We start from the raw sequence: 23336 nt of genomic DNA on the forward strand, positions 1-23336 counted from the left end.
GTGAGTGAGCACACTACCCAGCCAGGGAAACTGTGTTTTTTCCATGGAACTATGCAAGCCATGGATCAGAAGATCCCAGTTGCGAACCCAAGCCACTGGGTACTAGCACCCCAAACTGGGAACCTGGAGATTCTTGTAGCCTCTCAGCTGGAATCTGCTTAAGCCCAGTGAACTCCTGGGGGGAGGGGTGACCAGCACTGCCTGGACTGCCTGCTGTCTAAGCTTTTGAACTCCTTGTGGGAGGGGCAGCAGTCAGCAATGGGACTGGCAACTGCCTAATACACTAAGCTCCCTAAATGGGGGGAAGGGCAGCACCAACTTCTATAGCTCCAGGCTGCAATTTTCCCCTGCTGGAGGCAGGGAGGCTGGATGGCTTTGTCCCAAGACTTGTCCCCACAGCCCAACACACCGGCTTTGGCCGTCTGCAGCCAGGGTGGCTCTTCAGGTCTAACTCTGACCCATCCTTCCTTATTGGGCGGGGCTTCCCTACAGGATCTCCAATAACTCCAGCCAGGACAGAATTCAGATCTCCCTGAGCCTGAGTCCCTAGTGGGAGGGGTAGCCACAGTCTCTGTGGACCAGCAGCCCTAGCCTCTCCTCCTGGTAGTTCTGAGGAATCTGGGCAGCCCAGATGAGTGGGTTTCCCCCCAGCAAAACACACCGTCTCCACCAAGGGACAAAGTACTTCATTAAATGGGTCCTGTTCCCTGTGCCACCCAACTGGGTGAGGCCCTGCAACAGGGGTTGTCAAACACCCTATATAGGAGTAATCCTACTGGCATCAGGTTGGTGCCCCTTGAGGTCAGAGGTCCCACAAGAAGAAGCAAGCATCCATCTTTGCTGGTCTCCAGCCTCCCTGAGTGACATCTCCAGGCACAGGAGCAAATCAGATGAATAGGGACTGAAGTGAACCCCCAGAAAACTACAGCAACCTTACAGAAGATGGACCTGACTATCGAAAGAAAAACAAGCAGAAAGTGACAACAACAGCATCAACAACAACAACAACAACAAAAAGGTCCCCACAAAAACCCCATCCAAGGGTCAGTAACCTCAAAGACAGAAACTAGACAAATTCACAAAGATGAGAAAGAATCAATGGAAAAATGGTGAAAACCCAGAAGGCCAGAGTGCTTCTTCTCCTCCAAATGATCACATCTCTCCATCAAGGGCAAAGAACCAGAGGATCAGATGGACAAATTGACAGAAGTAGGCTTCAGAAGAGGGTTACAAAAAACTACCTCTGACGAGCTAAAGGAGCATGTTCTAACCCAAAGCAAAGAAGCTAAGAACTTTGATAAGAGGTTAGAAGAAAGTGCTAACTAGAACAATCAGTTTAGAGAGGAATATAAATGACCTGAAAGAGGTGAAAAACACAGCACAAGAACTTGGTGAAGCATACACAAGTATCAACCGCCAAATTGATGAAGCAGAAGACAGGGTATCAGAGTTTGAAGACCACCTTACTGAAATAAGACATGCAGACAAGAATAGAGAAAAAAGAATAAAAAGGAATGAACAAAACCTCCACAAAATATGGGACTTTATAAAAAGACTCAACCTATGATTGATTGGAGTACTGGAAGGAGACAGGGGAATGGAAACGAGCTGGAAAACACACTTCAGGATAGTATCCAGGAGAACTTCCCCAACCTAGCAAGACAGGCCAACATGCAAATTCAGGAAATAAAAGAATATCATTAAGATACTCAATGAGAAGATCAAACCCAAGACATATAATCATCAGATTCTCCAAGGGTGAAATCAAGGAAAAACTGTTAAGGGCAGCCAGAGAGAAACGCCAGGTCACATACAAAGGGAAGCCCATCAGACTAACAACAAACCTCTCAGCAGAAACTCTACAAGCCAGGAGAGATTGGGGGCCAGTATTCAACATTCTTAAAGAAAATCATTTCCAACCCAGAATTTCATATCCAGCCAAACTAAGCTTCATAAGCAAAGGAAAAATAAAATCCTTTCCAGACAAGCAAATGCTGAGGGATTTTGTTACCACCAGGCCTGTCCTGCAAGAGCTCCTGAAAGAAGTACTAAATATGGAAAGGAAAAACTGTTATCAGCCCTGCAAAAACACAGCAAAATATAAAAGCCAATGACACCATGAAGAAACTGCATCAACCGTTGTGCAAAATAACCAAATAGCATCATGATGACAGGATTAAACTTCCACATAACAATACTGACCTTAAATGTAAATGGGCTAAATGCCCCCAATTAAAAGACACAGACTGGCAAATTGAATAAGGAGTCAAGACCCATCAGTGTGCTGTATTCAAGAGACCCATCTCACGTGCAAAGACACACACAGGTTCAAAATAAAGGGATGGAGGAAAATTTACCAAGCAAATGGAAAGCAAAAAACAGCAGGGGTTGCCATCCTAGTCTCTGACAAAACAGACTTTAAACCAACAAAGATCAAAAAAGACAAAGAAGGGCCCAACATAATGATAAAGGGAGCAATTTAACAAGCAGAGCTAACTATTCTGTATATATATGCACCCAATACAGGAGCACCCAGATTCATAAAACTAGTTCTTAGAGCCCTACAAAGAGACTTAGACTACCACACAATAATAGTGGGAGACTTTAACACCTCACTGTCAGTATTAGATCAATGAGACAGAAAATTAACAAGAATATTCAGGACTTGAATTCAGATCTGGATCAAGTGGACCTACTAGATGTCTACAGAACTCTCTACCCCAAATCAACAGAATATACATTCTTCTCAGTGCCACATGACACTTATTCTAAAATAGACCACATAATTGGAAGTAAAACACTCCTGAGCAAATGCAAAATAACTGAAATCATGACAAATAATCTCTCAGACCACAGTGCAATCAAATTAGAACTAAGGATTAAGAAACTCACTCAACTCACCAAAACCACACAATTTCATGGAAATTGAACAACCTGCTCCCGAGTGACTCCTGGGTAAATAATGAAATTAAGGCAGCTATCAAGAAGTTCTTTGAAACCAATGAGAACAAAGAGACAACATACCAGAATCTCTGGGACACAGCTAAAGCAGTGTTAAGAGGGAAATTTGTAGCACTAAATGCCCACACCAGAAAGCTAGAAAGATCTCAAATCAACACCCTAACACCATAATTATAAGAGCTAGTGAGGCAAGGGCAAACTAATTCAAAAACTAGCAGAAGACAAGAAATAACTAAGATCAGAGAAGAACTGAAGGAGATAGAGACACAAAGAAACCCTCCAAAAAAATCAATGAATCCAGGAGCTGTTTTTTTTAAAAAAAATAACAAAATAGATAGACTGCTAGCCAGACTAATAAAGAATAAAAGAGAGAAGAATCAAAAAGACACAATAAAAAATGATAAAGGAGATACCACCACTGACCTCACAAAAATACAAACTACCATTAGAAAATACTATAAACACCTCTATGCAAATAAACCAGAAAATCTAGAAGAAATGGATAAATTCCTGGACACATACACCCTACCAAGACTAAACCAGAAAAAAGTTGAATCCCTGAATAGGCCAATAACAAGCTCTGAAATTAAGGCAGTAATTAATAGCCTACCAACCAAAATCAGAGGGATTCACTGCTGAATTTTATCAGAAATACAAAGAGGAGGTAGTACCATTCCTTCCGAAAATATTGCAAACATTGAAAAGGAGGGATGCATCTGTACCTCATTTTATGAGGTGAGCATCATCATGATACCAAAACCAGAATGAGACACAACAACAAAAAAACCTTCCGGCCAATATCTCTGAACATCAACATGGAAATCCTCAACAAAACACTGGCAAACCAAATTAAGCAGCACATCAAAAAACGTATACACCACAATCAAGTCAGCTTCATCCATGGGATGCAAGCCTCATTCAACATACATAAATCAATAAACGTAATTCATCACATAAACAGAACCAAAGACAAAAACCACATGATTATCTCAATAGATACAGAAAAGGCCTTTGATAAAATTCAACATCTCTTCATGTTAAAAACTCTCAATAAACTAGGTATTGATGGAACACATCTTAAAATAATAAGAGCTATTTATGACAAACCCACAGCCAATCATACTGAATGGGCTAAAGCTGGAAGCATTCCCTTCGAAAACCAGTACAAGACAAGGATGCCCTCTCTCACCGTTCCTATTCAACATAGAACTGGAAGTTCTGGCCAGGGGAATCAGGCAAGAGAAAGAAATAAAGATTATTCAAATAGGAAGAGAGGAAGTGAAGTTGTCTCTGTTTGCAGAGAACATGATTTTATACTTACAAAACCCCATCATCTCAGCCGAGAAACTTCTTGAACTGATAAATGACTTCAGATGAGTCTCAGGATACAAAATCAATGTGCAAAAATCACAAGCATTCCTTTACACCAATAATAGGCAAACATAGAGCCAAATCATGAATGAATTCCCATTCGCCATCGCTACAAAGAGAATAAAACACCTAATAATACAGCTAACAAGGGATGTGAAGGACCTCTTCAAGGAGAATTACAAATCACCACTCAAGGAAATAAGACACAACACAAACAAATGGAAAAACATTCCATCCTCATGTATAGGAAGAATCAATGTCAGGAAAATGGCCATACTGCCCAAAGTAATTCAAAGATTCAATGCTATTCCCATCAAACTACCATTAACATTCTTCACAGAATTAGAAAAAAACTATTTTAAATTTCATATGGAATCAAAGACCCCATATAGCCAAGACAACCCTAAGCAAAAAGAACAAAACTGGAGGCATCACACTACCTGGCTTCAAACTATACTACAAGGCTACAGTAACCAAAACAGCATGGTACTGCTACCAAAAAAGACATATGGACCAATGGAGCAGAACAGAGGTCTCAGAAATAACACCACACATCTACAACCATCTGATCTTTGACAAACCAGACAAAAACAAGCAATGGGGAAAGGAGCAAGTATTCAGTAAGTGATGTTGGAAAAACTGGCTAGCCATATAAAGAAAACTGAAACTGGACCCCTTCCTTACACCTTATACAAAAATTAACTCAAGGATTAAAAACTTAAATGTATAACCTGAAACCATAAAAAAACCCTAGAAGAAAACTAGGCAATACCATTCAAGACATAGGCATGGTCAAAGACTTCAAGACAAAAATGCCAAAAGCAATTGCAACAAAAGCCAGAATTGACAAATGAGATATAATTAAACTAAAGAGCTTCTGCACAGCAAAAGAAACTGTCATCAGAGTGAACAAGCAACTTACAGAAGGGGAGAAAATTTTTGCAATCTACCCATCTGACAAAGGTCTAATATCCAGAATTTACAAGGAACTTAAAAAATTTACAAGAAAAAAAGCAAACAATCCCATCAATAAGTAGGCAAAGGATATGAACAGGCACTTCTCAAAAGAAGACATTTATGCAGCCAACAAACATATGAAAAAAAGCTCAACATCACTGATCATCAGAGAAATGCAAATCAAAACTACAATGAGATACCGTCTTATGCCAGTCAGAATGGCAATTATTGAAAAGTCAGGAAACAATAGATGCTGGTGAGGCTGTGGAGAAATAGGAACACTTCCACACTGTTGATGGGAATGTAAATTAGTTCAACCATTGTGGAATACAGTATGGCGATTATTCAAGGATCTAGATAGTTCTAGATCTAGAAATACCATCTGACCCAGCAATTCCATTACTGGGTATATACCCAAACGAAGTTAAATCATTCCACTATAAAAACACATGCATACATATGTTTATTGCAGCACTATTTACAATAGCAAAGACATGGAACCAACCCATATGCCCATCAATGATAGACTGGATAAAGAAAATGTGGTACCTATACACCATGGAATACTATGCAGCCATAAAAAAGAATGAGATCATGTCCTTTGCAGAGACATGGATGAAGCTGGAAGCCATCATCCTCAGCAAACTAACACAAGAACAGAAAACCAAACCCCACCTTTTCACTCATAAGTGGGTGTTGAACAATGAGAACACATGGACACAGGGAGGGGAACAACACACACCGGGGCCTGTTGGGAGGACGGGGGGTGAGGGGAGGGAACTTAGAGGGTGGGTCAATAGGTGCAGCAAACCACCATGGCACACGTATACCTATGTAACAAACCTGCACGTTCTGCACATGTGTCCTGGCACTTTAAGTAAAAAATTTTTTTAAAGTGCAGATTTTAATAATTTAATCATTTGTTGTCTGTGTTTTCTCTTACTCATCATTTTGTTGTTTTTATTACTGTTTTCTCTTGTAATGTTTAGTAATTTTTTTTTTTTGGGACGGAATCTCTCTGTCGCCCAGGCTGGAGTGCAGTGGCAATCTCGGCTCACTGCAACCTCCACCTCCCAGGTGCAAGCAATTCTCCTGTCTCAGCCACCCAAGTAGCTAGGACTATAGGCACCTGTAACCATGCCTGGCTAATTTTTCTATTTTTAGTAGAGCTGGGTTTCACCATGTTAGCCAGGCCTGTCTCGAACTCCTGACCTCAGGTGATTCACCTGCCTCAGCCTCCCAAAGTGCTGGGATCACAGGTGTGAGCCACCAGGCCTGGCCTGTTTAGTGAATTTTTATTCAATTTTGTCATTATCTATAAAATAAACATAGAAATGTTATTTTGTCCAGAGATATTACCCTTTTTTTCTTTTAAACAAATAGAGTGAGAGGCTGATTACCTCAATCAGGGATTCAGCTGGACCTGGCAGCATTGCCATTTTGGTAAAACTGAATCTATCTTGGGTGTCCCCCTGTTTTGAGGGCATGGCTTTCTTGGGCTTTTGATTTAGAGGATGATGGACCTTTATCTCATTCATTATAAAGTATTTGAGGAAATTTAGTTCTGTCATTCAATTTCCTAGCCCAGCTCTCTAGCATTGCACTCTGCAACCTCAAAATCTGGTAAATATTTTGAGGAGACAATGGACATGGTTTGATGTAGGCCCTTTCCCCATGGCAGGACTTTCCTAAGCACAGTGAGCCTGGTTTTTATATTCTGTGAAATCCCTGACCAACAGTGACCCAGGTGCTCACTCTCATATCACTCTTGGAAAGGAAATGAGAAGAAGTATGCATTCAGTTATTCTCAAACAATCCATGTTTTTCAATAAAATTCTGAAAAAGCAAAAACTAAGTTTGAATAATGCTGTCCTCTGTGTCCCTGACTGTATATAGCTCATCATAGCATGTAAAGGCTCTGAAAAGAACTGTAGTGAAGAAATTGTTGGATTTTGTTTAATCAGATACTTTCCCAAGTTTTAAAATCTCAGAACTCTATATTTAGAAGGCCCATTTAATACTCTGCCCAACATATTTTGGGAAATGTTATTAGAAGATTGGTAATATCTGGAACATATAAATCTGCCTATGACCTAACATGGTAATTGAGGATGTTTGTATATATGTTTAGGTATCCAATCTTTATTTAATTTAAAATGATTTACAAAGATATATATAGTTTAATATTATAGTGCAAATAAAAGTGAAGTGACTGAAGGGGAAAAAGGGAGGTAAGAATGTTTTAAGCCAGAAATGAGACACGCTAAAAGTACATGCTAAAATCAATAAGAGTTTTTTCCCCCAAGATGGCAGACTAGAGGCTTTTAGTGTGCCTCAGCCACTTGGAAATAGCAAGATAGTACATAAAGATCAACTCTGTGTGCTTTATTTCAAGAAGGAAAATGAGAGTCCACTGGAATTGTGAAGGACACCCCAGATCCCAGAGAGGAGAATTGCCGGCAAACAGCCGTTGTGATGGCATACAGCTGATAAAAGTGAGTGAAGCCCCAGTAAGTGAAAAAGGCAAAGAACCTCCCTCTGTCACTCTCCTTTCCACTGGGGACCCAAACAACCCAGACCTTTGTTACTCCCAAGCACTGGAGATAACATGGGGAGAAGCTTGGAGATGCTGTGAGAGAAAGAAATCAAGAAAAGTTGCAGACATTTTCCCAGACCCAGGACCAAGAGCAAGATACCATTTTTAATCCAGATGCATGCAAAGTCAGCCATTCTTTGACAACTTGGCAGCGTGGCTGTGCAGGTATTTTAGCGTTGGGCCAGACACTGGAACACCTGTTCTGGGGTAGGGTAGGAACCTTCACAGCCAGAACTGTAAAAAGCACCTCAGCAGTCACTGCTGAATTGCAGTCTTTCCTGTCACAAGCCTGGGGTGGCAGTAGAGCTGCTACAGCTGAAGTTTCTGCTGGGTGGAGAGACTTGCAGCCAGGGCCAGCTGAACAACATGGAACTAATCTGCATGTGCCACAACTAGGTGCCCTCCCCTGCCCCGCCCTGATATTGTGGTGCAGCTAGGCCCACTTCACTCCAGCCCCAGGCAGAAATCTAGGTATTTGAATTACCTGCTTGCCTGGACAGCAGCCTCAGCTGCCCCACCCTTCCTGGACATAGATCATGATGAAGGGGGATTGGGGTGCCTCCGCTCCACACCCAGGAAGATCTCCAGGTAATTAGAGCACTTGAGCACCTGGATCAGCAACCTGATTCATCTCACCCTTCCTGTGCAGAGATCCTGGTGCAGGGAGGCCTTTTCTGCTTCACGCCCAGGCAAATCTCCAGGCATTCGGAGCACCTACTCGTCTGCTTCAAGAGCCTGAGTCACTCCACCACTCCTGGACATAGATTGTGGTGTAGGGGAGCCCTTTTTCCTCCACACCCAGGCAGATCTCCAGGCATTCAGAGCACCAGATCACCTGGATCAACAGCCTGAGTCACCCCACCCTCTTATGCAGAGCTCCTGGTGTAGGGCAGCCCTCTCTGCTCCATGCCCAGGCAGATCTCCAGCTATCTGGAGCACCCACTCTCTTGGATTAGGAGTTTACGACAGAGAACAGACAGCAGCCCCTTTACAGAGAACTTGGGGATGAGGAGGTTTCCCATTTGCATGCCTAGGCAAACCTCTGGGCACTTGATGGTCACCCACGGGATACTCCTTCATTGCTGGTGCATATGTCTGCCATCAGTGGACCTGTAGGTCGACCTGCCTAGTCTAGCCCTGCGCTTCATGGTTCCTGGCTCCCCAGGGGTCAGAAGGGAGCTCAGACCACTGCACATTCCAGAAATCAGTCCATTGCCTGAGGCAACAGAGAGCTACTGCCAGGTAAACAAGGATTAAGTATAAACACAGCCGCATTGGCTATAGCCCACTCTTACCTAGTGCTGGCTATCAACTACAGATTTGTATGTCAAACTTCACAGCCCAATATGAAACCTACTGAAAAAAGTGCATAGGGCTATAAGAGCAAAACCAAAAGACCCTACCCAGCATTCCTTCAGTTGTACCCCCTATGAAGGCAGGAAAGAAAAAATGGGAAAAAGAAAAACAAAACCCCGCAATATTATAGAGAACGAGAACAAAAAAGTCCTACCTGCACAAAAATAATTACAAAAATTGGAAGTGCCAGCATCTTCAGATGATAAGAAACCAGTGCAAAAATTCAGGCACCATGAAAAATATAAACATAATGAAACCAATAAATGATTGCACTAGCTCTCTAGCACTGGTTCCTAACTAAAATGGAAATTCAGAAATGACAGATAAAGATTTCAATTCATGGATTGCTAGAAAGTACAATGAAATCCAAGACAAGGTTGAAAATCAACACACAAAAACATCTAAAGCAATACAGGAAATGAACGAAGAGATAAACAACTTAAAAGAAATCAATCAGAGCTTCTGAAATTAAAAAAAAAAAAAAGACACAAAAAAACTCAAGGAATTTCAAAAATACAATCAAAACCTTTATCAATACACTGGACCAAGCAGAATAAAAAATTTCAGGCCAGGCACAGTGGCTCACGCCTGTAATCCCAGTACTTTGGGAGGCCAAGGTGGGTGGACTACCTGAGGTCAGGAGTTCAAGACCAGCCTGGCCAACATGGCGAAATCCCATCTCTACTAAAAACACAAAAATTAGTGGAGTGTGGTCGTATGATCCCAGCTATTCAGGAGGCTGAGGCACAAGAATTGTGTGAACCCAGAAGGCAGAGCTTGCAGTGAGCCAGAACCAAGATTGTACCACTGCACTCCAGCCTGGGCAACAAAGTGAGGCTCTGGCTCAAAAAAAAAACAAAAACAAAAACAAAAAAATTCAGAGCTTGAAAAACAGTCTTTTGAACTAACTGAGCCAGACAAAAATAAAGAAAAATAAATTTTTTTAGTGAACAAACCTTTGAGAAATATAGGATTATGTAAAGTGATGAAACCTATGAATGATTGGCATTTATGAGAGAGAATGACAAAAGGCAAACAAACTAGAAAACATATTTGAGGAAAAATTCAAGAAAATTTCTGCCAGTGCAAGCTTGTGGACACAGCTATCTTGCCCCCACCAGCATGCACCTGCACCCTGAGCTCTACCTCCCACTGACACGCACACATGCTGCCACACTGCTGCCACTGCCAGCACTTACTTGTGTGGACATGCTGTCCTGGGCCCACCAGCACATGTGCACCTTGGCACACTGTCACTGCTGGCACACCTATGCACACAGAGACTGCCACCCACCCCCATGTGGAGGGCGCCACCTCAGCCCCACCAGCATCCTGGCCCTGATGACATGTGCACACTCCACCACGCAGCAACTGCTGATGGCATAGCCACACATACTGACGCCACAGCCATGCCTCCACTGGCACACTCATGCAACCTACATCACTGCCACTCTGCTGATGTATGCACATGTGTGTGGACACCCCTGCCTCACCCCTGCTTATGCCCCACCCTCATCAACACGCATGCATCCCACTGCACACCACCACAGTTGGCACGTAAGTGCAAGCACAGACCCAACTGCCGGCACCCTGACGAAGCACTTTGGCCCACACCCTCCAGCAGACTGTTGTTGCCAGCAGACCAGTAGCACCTCAGCCCCTCCAGCACAGCAGGTGCTTAACCATGAAGGGCCAGAAAACAAAGCCTTGGGCCTGGTATCAGTCCCCCAGGGTTAGAGCATGCAGCCCAGAAGTGCTGAGCTGAGACTTGGGCCTCTAAAATTTTCCAGAAATGCAGCTGGTAAACCCAACTTTTACCATAGTTAAACCCCCAAGGGCATAAAAGAATATAAAAGCAAAAAACCCTGGCAACTCAAAATTCCAGAGTATCTTTTTACCTCCAAACAACTGCCCTAGCTCCCCAGCAATTATCCTTAAACAGGCTGAAATGGCCGAAATGACAGACATAGGATTCAGGATCCAAATTGAATAAAGATCACTGAGATTCAGGAGAAAGTCTAAACCCAATCCAAAAGAATCTAAGAAATCCAACAAACCAATACAGGAGCTTGAAGATGAAATAGCCATTTTAAGAAAGAACCTAACTGATCTCATAGAGCTGAAAAACTGACTACAAGAACTTCATAATACAATTGCAAGTATTAACAGCAGAATAGGCCAAACTGAGGAAAAAAATTTCAGAGCTTAAAGACCAGTTCTTCAAATTAACACAGTCACATAAAAATAAAGAGAACAGAATAAAAAAGAAAGAGCAAAACCACCAAGAAATAAGGGATTATCTAAGGAGACTAAAGCTTATGACTCATTGGTGGCCCTGAAAGAGAGAGAAAGGGTAGAGAGCAACATGGAAAACATTTGAGGATATCGTCCATGAAAATGTCCCCAACCTTGCTAGAGAGGTTGACATTCAAATTCAGGAAATGCAAAGAACCCCTATGAGATACTGCATAAGAAGACCATCCCCAAGACACATAGCCATCAGATTTTCCAAGTTCACTCAGAAAGAAAAAATATTAAAAGCAGCTAGAGAGAATGGGTGGGTCACCTACAAAGGGAACCCCATCAGGCTAACAGAAGAGCTTTCAGCAGAAACCCTCCAAGCCAGAAGAGATTACAGGCCTATATTCAGCATTCTTAAAAAAAAAAAAAAAAAAAAAAAATTCAAACAAAAACTTTATATCCAGTCAAACTAAGCTTTAAGCTTCGTAAGTAAAGGAGAAGGAAGATCCTTTTCTGACAAGTAAATGCTAAGGGAATTTTTAAGCACCAGACCTGCCTTACAACAGATCCTTAAAGGAGTGCTAAGCATAGAAATGAAAGACTGTTAGTGGCCAACACAAAACCACACTTAAAAACATAGACAGTTCAGCTGACACTATAAAGCAATTACACAATCAAGTCTGCGTAACACCCAGCAAACAACACAATGGCAGTACATATCAATATTAGCCTTGGACGTAAATATCAATATTTGTAGTACATATCAATATTAGTACATATTAATATTAGCCCTGAATATAAATGGGCTAAATGCCCCCATTTAAAAGGCTCAGAGTGGCAAGTTTGATAAAGAAGTAAGACCCAACTTTATGCTATCTTCGAGAGACCTATCTCACATGCAATGATACCCATAAGCTCAAAATAAAGAGATGGAGAAAAATCTACCAAGCAAATGGAAAACAAAAGATAAGGAATTGCTATTCTAATTTCAGACAAAACAGACTTTAAATCAACAATGATCAAAAAAGACAAAAAAAGGCATTACATAATGATAAAGGGTTTAATTTAACAAGAAGACTTAACTATCCTAAATATATACACACCCAACATTGGACCACACATAATCTTAAAACAAGTGCTTCAAGACCTACAAAAAGACTTAGGCAGCTACACAATAGTAGTGGAGGACTTCAGAAGATGAAAATAAATAATAAAGATCAGAGCAGAAATAAATTAAATTGAAATCAATAAAACAGTCCAAAAGATAAATGAAACAAAACTTTGGTTTTTGGAAATTAAACAAAATTGACAAACCTTTAACAAGACTGAGAAAAAAAGAGAGGACCAAATAAATAAAATCAGAGATAAAGTAGTAGACATTACAACTGATACTCAAAGGATCATTAGTGGCTACTATAAGCAACTATACGTCAATACAATGGAAAATGTAGAATGGACAAATTTCTAGATACATACAATCTACCAAAATTGAACCAAAAAGAAATCCAAAACCCGAACAGACCAGGTAATGAGATTGAAACAGGAATAAAAAGTCTCCCAGTAAGGAAAAACCTTGGACCTGACGGCTTCTCTGCTGAATTCTACCAAACACTTAAACAAGAACTAACACCAATCCTACTCAAACTATTGCAAAAAACAGAGGAACAGGAATAATTTCAAACTCATTCTAGAAGGCCAATATTACCCTAATACCAAAACCAGACAAAGACACATCAAAAAAATAAAAATACATGCCAATATCCTTGATGAAATTGATGCAAATATCCTCAACAAAATACTAGCAAACTGAATTCAAAAACACATTAGAAGTATTATTCATCATCATGACCAAGTGGAATTTATCCCTGGGATGCCAGGATGGTTCAACACACACGTATCAATCGACAGGATACATCATAGGAACAGAATGAAGGACAAAAATTATGTGACTATTTTAATTGATGCTGGAAAAGCATTTGACAAAATTTAACATCATTTCATGATTAAAAAATAAAAAACTTTAAAAAACTGGATATAGAAGGAACACTCCTCAACATAATAGAAGCCATATACAACAGACCCACAGCTAGGATCATACTGAATGAGGAAAAATTGAAGGCCTTTCCTCTAAGATCTGAAATATGACAAGCATGTCTACTTTCACCAGTGTTATTCAAAATAGTACCTGAAGTCCTAGCTAGAGAAATCTGACAAGAGAACAAAATAAAGGGCATACAAATTGGAAAGGAAGAAGTCTATTTTCCTTATTTGCAGATGATATGATCTTATATTTGGAAATCCTAAAGACTACATCAGAAAACTATTAGAACTGATAAACAAATTGACTAAAGTGACAGGATATAAAATCAACATACAAAAATCAGTAGCATTTCTATATGCCAACAGAGAGCAAAATGAAAAAGAAGCCAAAAAAGCAATTCCATTTACAATAGCTGCAGACAAAATTAAATACTTGGGAATTAAAGAAGTGAAAGATCTCTGCAATGAAAACTTAAAGCATTGATGAAATATATTAAAGAAGTCATCAAAAATGGAAAGATATTCCATGTCCACGGATTGGAGGAATCAATATTGTTAAAAATGTCTGTACTACCCTGAGCAATCTACCAATTCAATGCAATCTCTATCAAAATACCAATGGCATTCTTCACAGAAATAGAAAAAATAACCCTAAAATTTATCTGGAGCCACAAAAGACTTAGAATAGCCACATCTATCCTAAGCAAAAAGAATAAAACTGGAGGAATCGCATTACCTGACTTCAAATTATACCACAGAGCTACAGTAACCAAAACAGCATGGTCCTGGGATAAAAAACAGACACATAAACCAATGGAACAGAATAGAAAACCCAGAAACAAATCCACACACCTACAGCAAACTCATTTTTGACAAAGTTGCCAAGTGCTAGGGAAAAGAGAGTCTCTTCAATAAATGAGGCTAGGAAAACTGAATATCCATAAACAGAGGCATAAAAATAGATCCCCTATCTCTCAGCATATATAAAAATTAAATCAAAATGCATTAATGAGTTCATTCAAAGACCTCAAACTATGAAACTACTACAGAAACCATTGGGAAAGTTCTACAGGATATGGGATGAGAAAAATTTCCTGAGTACTATCCTACAAGCACAGGCAACTGAAGCAAAGATGGACAAATGAGATCACATCAAGTTAAAAAAAACCTGCAAAAGAAACAATAAAGTGAAGAGACAACCCACAGAATGAGAGAAAATATTTACAACCTAACAAACTGAGAAGAGATTAATAACCAGAATACATCAGGAGCTCAAACAACTCTACAGGAAAAAAAAAATCTAGTAACCTGATTAAGAAATGGGCAAGAGATTTGAAGACATAGAAATGATAAACATGCACATGAAAGGTGCTCAACATCATTGATCATCAGAGAAATGAAAATCAAAACTACAATGAGTTATCATCTCACCCCAGTTAAAATGGCTTTTATCCAAAAGACAGGTAATAACAAATGCTGGTGAGGATGTGGAGAAAAGGTAATTCTTACACACTGTTTTTGGGAATGTAAATTAGTACAACCACTATGGAGAACAATTTGGAGGTTTCTCAAAAAACTAAAAAGTGACCTACCATAAGATCCAGCAATCTCACTGCTGAGTACATACCCAAAAGAAAGGAAGCTGGTATATGAAAGATATACCTACACTTTCATATTTCATGCAATACTATTCACAATAGCCAAAATTTGGAAGTTACCTGTTAATCAATGAATGAATAAATAAAATGTAGTACCTATATACAATGGAGTACTATGCAGCCATAAAAAATGAGATTGTGTCATTTACAACAACACTGATGGAACTGGATCCATTATGTTAATTGAAATAACCCAGGCACAGAAAGGTGAACATTGGATGTTCTCACTTGTGAGATCTAAAAATCAAAACAATTGAACTAATGGAGACAGAGAGTAGAAGGATGATTACTGGAGGCTGGGTAGGGTAGTGGGGCAATGGCAGGGGAAATGGGAATGGTTAATTGGTACAAAAAATAATTTGAAAGAATGAAGAAGACGTAGTATTTGATAGCACAACAGGGTGACTCTAGTCAATAATAATTTAACTGTACATTTTAAACAACTAAAAAATTATAATTGGGTTGTTTGTAACACAAAAGATAAATGCTTGAGCGAATTGATACCTGATTTTACATGATGTGATTATTACACATTGCACACCTATATCAAAATATCTCATGTACCCAAAAATATGTACACCTCCTATGTACCCACAAAAATAAAAATGTAATAAGTAGTGGGGGATTTCAACATCCCACTGTCAGCATTAGACAGGTCATCAAGGCAGAAACTAACAAAGAGTTTCTGCATTTAAACTAGATGCTTGACCACTTCGCCCTAATAGACATCTACAGAATACTCCACCCATCAACCACAGAATATACATTCATACAGAACATACTTCAAGATTGAGCATATGCTTAGCCATTAAGTAAGTCTCAATAATTTTTTTAAAACTTGAAATCCCACCAACCATACTTTCAGAACACAGTTGAATAGAAATGGAAATCAATACCAAGAAGATCTCTCAAAATCACACAGCTACATGAAAGTTAAACAACTTGCTCCTGAATAACTTTTGGGTAAACAATGAAATTAAGGCAGAAATAAAAATATCCTTAAAATAAATGAAAACAGAGATATAACCTCTTGAAATCTCTCAGATGTAGCAAATCAGTGTTAAGAGAAAAGTTTATAGTATTAGATGCTACTTCAAAAAGTCAGAAAGATCTCAAATTAATGATCTGACATCGTACCTAAATCAACTAGCAAAACAAGAACAAACCAACTATAAAGCTAGCAGAAGAAAAGAAATGACTAAAATCAGGACGGAACTGAATGAAATGCAGACTCAAAAATCCATACTAAGTATCGTATCAGTGAAAACCAAAAGTTGATGTTTTGAAAGGATAAACAAGGTCAATAAGCCACTAGCTAGATTAACAAAGAAAAAATAAATGAAGATCCAAATAAGCCCAATCAGAAATTACAAAAGTGACATCGCAACCAATCCACAGAAATACACAAAAGATCCTCAGAGACTGTTATAAACACACACCTCTACTCACATAAACTGGAAATTCAAGAGGAAATGGATAAATTCCTCAAAAAACACAATCTCCCAAGATTGAATCAGGAAGGAATTGAAACCCTGAACAGACCAATAACAAGTTCTGATATTGAATCAGTAATAAAAATCCTATCAACCAAAAAAGCCCTGGAGTGCATGGATTAACAACCAAGTTTTACCAGACATGCAAAGAAGAGCTGGTACCAATATAACTGAAACTATTTGATAAAACCAAGGAAGAGAGACTCCTTCTTAACTCATTCCATGAACCAGCAGCACCGCCATACCCAAACCTGGTAAAAACACATTGAAAAAGGAAAACTTCAGGCCAGTATCCCTGATGAACATAGATTCAAAAATCCTCGACAGAATTCTAGCAAACTGAATTCAACAGCACATAAATATGTTAATTCACCACAATTATGTAGGCTTCATTCCTAGGATGCAAGGTTGGTTCAACATACACAAATCAATAAATATGATTCACCACATAAACAGAATTAACAAAAACCATATGATCATCTCAAAAGATTCAGAAAAAGCTTTTCATAAAATTCAAAGTCCTTTCATGATAAAAATCTTCAATAAACTAGGAATCAAAGGAACATAGCTCAGAATAAGAGCCATCTATGGCAAACACACAGCCAAAATCATACTAAACAAGGAAAAATTGGAAGTGTTCCCCTTGAGAACTGGAACAAGACAAGGATGCCCACTCTCACCACTCCTATTCAACTTAGTACTGGAAGTGCTAGCCAGAGCAATCAGGCAAGAGAAAAAAAATAAAAGGCATCCAAATAGGAAAAGAAGTTAAACTATCTTTCTTCATAGATATATGATCCTACACCCAGAAAACCTTAAAGACTGCCAAAAAGCCCCTGGAACTGATAAACAATGTTAGTAAAGTTTCAGGATCCAAAATCAATGTACACAAATCACAAGCGTTTCTACATACCAATAATCTTCAAGGTGAGGATGAAATCAAGAATGCAATCTCATTTACAATAGCCAAAAAATAATCATAAAATACCTAGGAATATAGCTAATCAAGAAGGTGAAAGATCTCTACAAAGGAAACTACAAAATACTGCTAAAATAAATCACGGATGACACAAACAAATGGAAAAACATTCATGCTTATGAATTGGAAGAATCAATATCATTAAAATGACCATACTACTTAAAGCAATATATAGATTCAATGCTATTCCTTTCAAACTACCAATGTCATTTTTTTCACACAATTGTAAAAAACTATTATAAAATTCATGTGGAACCAGAAAAAATCCCAACAGCTTAAGCAAAAAAAGTCAGAGGCATCACATTACTTGACTTCAAATTATACTATCGGACTACAGTAACCAAAACTGCATGGTACTACTGGTACCAAAACAGGCACATAGACCAATGGAATAGGTTACAGAACCCAGAAATAAAGCTGTATTTCTACAGCCATGTGATCTTTAAGAAAGTCAACAACAATAAGCAATGGGGAAAGAACTCCCTGTTCAATAAATGTTGCTGGGATAACTGGCTAACCATATGCAGAAGAATGAAACTGGACCCCTACCTTTCACCATATAAAACAATTCACCAAGATGGATTAAAGATTTAAATGTAAGACCTCAAGCTATAAGAATCCTAGAAGAAAGCCTAGGAAACACCATTCTGGACATCAGCCTTGGAAAACAATTTATGATTAAGCCCTCAAAAGCAATTGCAACTAAAACAAATAATGACAAGTGGGACCTAATTAATCTAAAGAACTTCTGCACGGCAAAAGAAATTATCAACAGAATAAACAGATAACCCACACAATGGGATGAAGTATTCATAAACTATGTGTCTGACAAAGATCTAATATACAGAGTCATCTAAAAGGAACTTAAATCAACAAGAAAAATAAATAAATAACCCCATCAAAAAATGGGCAAATACATGAACAGACACTTCTCAAAAGAAATCACACAAGCAACCAAACAAACATGAAAAAATGCTTGACATCACTAATCATCAGAGAAATGCAAATCAAAGTCATAATGAGATACCATCTCATACCAGTCAGCATGGCTGCTATGAAAAGGTCAAAATCAACAGATGCTGGCATGGCTATGGAGGAAAGGGAATGCTTAAATATTGTTGGTGAAAATGTAAATTAGTTCAGCACTGAGGAAAGCAGTTTGGAGATTTCTCAAAGAACCTAAAAGGGAACTACCATTTGGCCTAGCAATTCCATTACTGGGTATATATCCAAAAGAAAACAAATGGTTCTACCAAAACTACACATGCACTCATAAGTTCATCGCTGCACTGTTCACAACAGCAAAGACATGGACTCAACCTAGCTGCCTATCAACAGAGGATTAGACAAAGAAAATGTGCACCATGGAATACTACACAGCCACAGAAAGAATGAAATTATGTCCTTTGCAGTAACATAGATGCAGCTGGAGGCCATAATTCTAAGTGAATGAACCCAGGAACAGAAAACCAAATAACACACGTTCTCACTTATAAGTGGGAGCTAAGCATTGGATACATCTGGATATAAAGATGGCAACAATAGAAATGAGTGATGGGTTGATTCTTAACCCAAATCTCAGCATCACTCAATATACCCAGGTAACAAAACCTGCACATGTACCCTCTGTATCAAAAATAAAAATGAAAAACAAAAAAAGAATAGCACTTCTTTTTACTAGTGGACAATAAATTTCACTCAGGATTCTGATACCTAGAGTTAAAAATGTAAAGTAATGCCCTTCCAAAATGTTGTTTTTGTTATTCTTTATTATTGTAATGCATAATTCCTTGTATTTTCCATATATTAATACACTCTTCCCAATGACCTAAAGAGGGAGAATTTATCAATATTTCTTTTATGTATGAGGACATTGAGACTTAGGAAAATATGTAATTTGACCAAGATTGCACAGCTACTAGACGCCATTTGACTAACTTATTGACTCCATATAATGTTCCAGGCACATTACTGTAAAAATTACAAACTTACAGCACATCCGAAAGTATCATATAATCTACACTTTTTATTAACGAGTAGGTCCTCGAATGTCCAACTGGCATAGAAAAGTGCTTAATAACCACATCATTACCTTAACAGGATCAATAATCAAATTAATTTGACCACTAGAGTTACTTGTGAAAAGGAAGAAGGAGCAGGAATTTTCCTCCTAACATAGTTCCCAATTAACCCTGCAACAAACAATATTTCTAGAACCAGATAAACAGGGCCCTATAATTTTTGGAAAGGTGGACCAAGGTGGAAGATAAAAATTGTGAAGACAAGCACATGATTTTGTTTCTAGCTTGCACTGTCCCTAAAAATGTAATAGAAAAGAAAATATTCGGTATGTCATTGGTGATAAATTGGCTACCATCCTTAGCTTCTGTGGATCTTTGAGGCTTTTGTATTGCTAGTAAAGTCTGAGCTCAGTAAGGTTATCTTCCCTCTCTGTGCTAGAGAAATTTTGTTTAATTGCGGAGCAGCAGTGGACAAAATTTCTTATGAAGGACACTCCAGTGTCTCAAGTAAGCTGCTCAAAGTTGCATCCAGAGTCATTAAACCTTTGACCTATACTGTCTGGGCATATGCCCAAATGAAACAAACAAAATAAAAAAAACCTCAACCCCATTTACTACCTCTTGCCCTAAGCTCTTTGTCTTGGTGAATAATTTGTATATCACAGAATTATATCTCTTCTTGGCAAATGCTTGCTTACTTACGTACTCAGGTGTCTTTTGAGATGAAGAATATCCTCCACAAAACTGAAGCTTAATATTCTTACTTCATCCCTTCAGGTGAGAACATGGGAAGCGTATAGAATTTTCAATCTTATATACTTGTGTTTCTTCTACTGGTTCTTTTCATTTATTTATGTATAAGGGCAATTTCTGCAAGTCAGTGATTAAGCAAATAAAATGGCAATGCCAAGAAGTAACTCCCTGTACAGATCTTAAGACAATTAAATAGAGGGATAGTGAGGAAGAGAGGAAAGGGTTCTCAGGCAGCACAGAGAGAACTATTTTATAAGTGTACACATGTATGATCTAACTTTGTTACTGATTTTACATATAAAAATCCCTCAATTATAAATTTACATTATCTTTTTTGTATGTTCTCTTTAATTTTTATTTACATTTTTACTTAATGGGTGTTAAGCAAAAGCTCCTTCTCTCTTATTCTAATATTGCCACTTTACCTCCATCCCCCCAACACTAACACAAGGAAACCAATTTATAACTGAGTATATAGATATATTTTTCCATTCATTTGTAATTATATTAAATGAATATATGTATATATGAGCATATGCACTTATCTAAGGTGTTTTGGTCTTTGATATTGCTACTGACTGAATGTCGTCCCCTCCTACCAACCCCCAGCTCATATGCTGAAGCCCTAACTACCAAAGTGATGATAGCTAGAGATGGAGCCTTTAGGAGATACTTAATGTTAAATGAGGTCATAAGGGTGGCACTCTAATTTGATAGGACTATCTCCTTATAAGAAGGGAAAGAACTCCTGAGCCCAGGCAATCCACCCTCTTCGGCAGTGAAACCCTGTCTCTACTAAAAATACACAAAAAAATTAGCCGGGCACAGTGGCATGCACCTGTAATCCCAGCTACTCGGGAGGCTGAGGCAGAGGAATTGCTTGACCTAACCAGGGAGGTGGAGGTTGCACTGAGGCAAGATCGTGCCACTGCACTCTAGCCTGGATGACAGAGCAAGACTCCGTCTCAAAAAAAAAAAAAAAAAAAAAAAAAAAAACAAGGAAAGAAAGAGATCTTTTTCTCACTGTCTGCCATGTGAGGACACAATGAGAAGGTAGCCGTCGGTATTAGTTCATTCTCCCATTGCTATAAAGAACTACCCGAGACTGGGTAATTTATGAAGAAAAGAGGTTTAATTGGCTCACAATTCCACAGGCTGTGCAGGAAGCAGGGCTAGGGAGGCCTCAGGAAACTTACAATCATGGCAGAAGGTGAAGAGGAAGGAGTCATGTCTTACACGGCTGCAGCAGGAGGAAGAGAGAGAATGTGGAGGTGCTACCCACTTTTAAACAACCGGATCTCATGAGAAGTCACTCACTATCACAAAAACAGCAAGAGGAAAATCCTCCTCCATGATCCAATCACCTCCCACTAGGACCCTCCTTCAACACTGGGGATTACAATTTGACATGAGATTTGGGCAGGAACACAAATCCAAACCATATTATCTATTAGACAGGAGGAGAGCCTTCCCCAGAAACCAGCCATAATGGGAGCCTAATCACAGACTTCCCACCTCCACAACTGTGAGAAAATAAATTTCTATGGTTTAAGCCATCTAGTCTGTGGTATTTTGTTATGGCAGCCTGAGTAGCCTAATACACACAATAAATACCCTTCTTACATCTCATTCTTCCCTTTCAACAAAAGTTCTTGAAAATCCATTCAAGTCAAATGGTGTGATCCTAACTTACTCTTTTTAATGACTACAAAATATTCTAAAGTGTGGATTTACCATAATTTATTCAGTCTATCCCTATTCACAGTCATTCCATTTGTTTCCAGTTTTTTTAAATTCTAACAACTATGAATAATGCTGGAATAATTATCCTTGTACATATTTCCATATACACTGGTGCTTTTCATTCCTTAAGATAGATGCCCAAGAGACGAATTACCAGGTCAAAGCATGTGACAGAGTAGGCTGGGTGGGATAACTCAGGCTCTGCCATCTTCAGGGGCTCCCTCACTCACCAGCCTAGGCAGCTGGAAGGAGAAAAGAGAACAGAGGAGCATATACCAAGTATGGGAGGTTTAGATGGGCTGGGCCTGGAAGAAGCACACACCAATCCTGCCACAACAATCCTGCTCACAGTCATTGGATATATCTGTAAAGTGAGACCAGAAATTGCAATCTAACCACATGCCCAGTAAGAAGAGGAAACATACATTTTTAGAGAGCAGCAGACATTCTTTATCAATACGTGTATGTGTGTATATACGTGTGTGTGTGTGTGTGTGTGTGTGTTTATTTTACTAGATAATGCCCATTTGCTTTCTAAAAAGACTGCAATTCCTCATGTGTTTGTTGGATGAACATAGGTTTTTAACTTCAGGTACTGTGATAGTTTTACAGTGATATCTCATTTTTTAACTATAATTCACATTCGTCTTTCCAGCAAGTAAATTTGAACATCTTTTCAGATGTTTGCTGGCCAGTTGGGTTTGCTTCTCTATCAATTGTTACTTCATATTCTTTGCCCACTTTTTAAGTGAATAGTTTTTGCCTTCTTACCAGTTTGTAAAAGTTTTGTGACAGTTATTAATTTCTAAATTGCAAATATCTTTTTCAAATCTATAATTTTCTCTTTATTGTGTTTGCAGTACTTTTTCCTGTAAAAACAGTAGTTTTACATATTAAAATATCTACCTTTTCTCTTACTGCTTTTGGTATATGCCATCTTGGTTAAAAAATTCTACACCCCTCACCCAAGAGATTGTGCACATAATCTCTCACATTTTTATATGTAACTTTATTATACTGATAAAGTTTAAATCTTTAATCTACCAGGATATTATTCATGTTAGAGGAAGTGATAAAACTGTGGGTATGAGTAGCAAAATTGAGTTAATCCAAACAAACAGGTTGGCAGAACATTGGCCCATACCGTGTAAGACAATCCAATTTTAT

At 38.8% G+C, this 23336-nt stretch overlaps 2 annotated features.

Moving 5' to 3' along the window:
- Positions 10155 to 10729: an enhancer, noted in NCBI's record as "H3K4me1 hESC enhancer chr12:23627288-23627862 (GRCh37/hg19 assembly coordinates)". NCBI's record gives its function as "activates a minimal SCP1, AML or CMV promoter by ChIP-STARR-seq in primed H9 embryonic stem cells {active_cell/tissue: H9 hESC(primed)}" and the evidence as "EXISTENCE:reporter gene assay evidence [ECO:0000049][PMID:30033119]".
- Positions 10730 to 11304: an enhancer, noted in NCBI's record as "H3K4me1 hESC enhancer chr12:23627863-23628437 (GRCh37/hg19 assembly coordinates)". NCBI's record gives its function as "activates a minimal SCP1, AML or CMV promoter by ChIP-STARR-seq in primed H9 embryonic stem cells {active_cell/tissue: H9 hESC(primed)}" and the evidence as "EXISTENCE:reporter gene assay evidence [ECO:0000049][PMID:30033119]".

Source organism: Homo sapiens, chromosome 12 (assembly GCF_000001405.40).
Source record: "Homo sapiens chromosome 12, GRCh38.p14 Primary Assembly".
Lineage (NCBI taxonomy): Eukaryota > Metazoa > Chordata > Mammalia > Primates > Hominidae > Homo > Homo sapiens.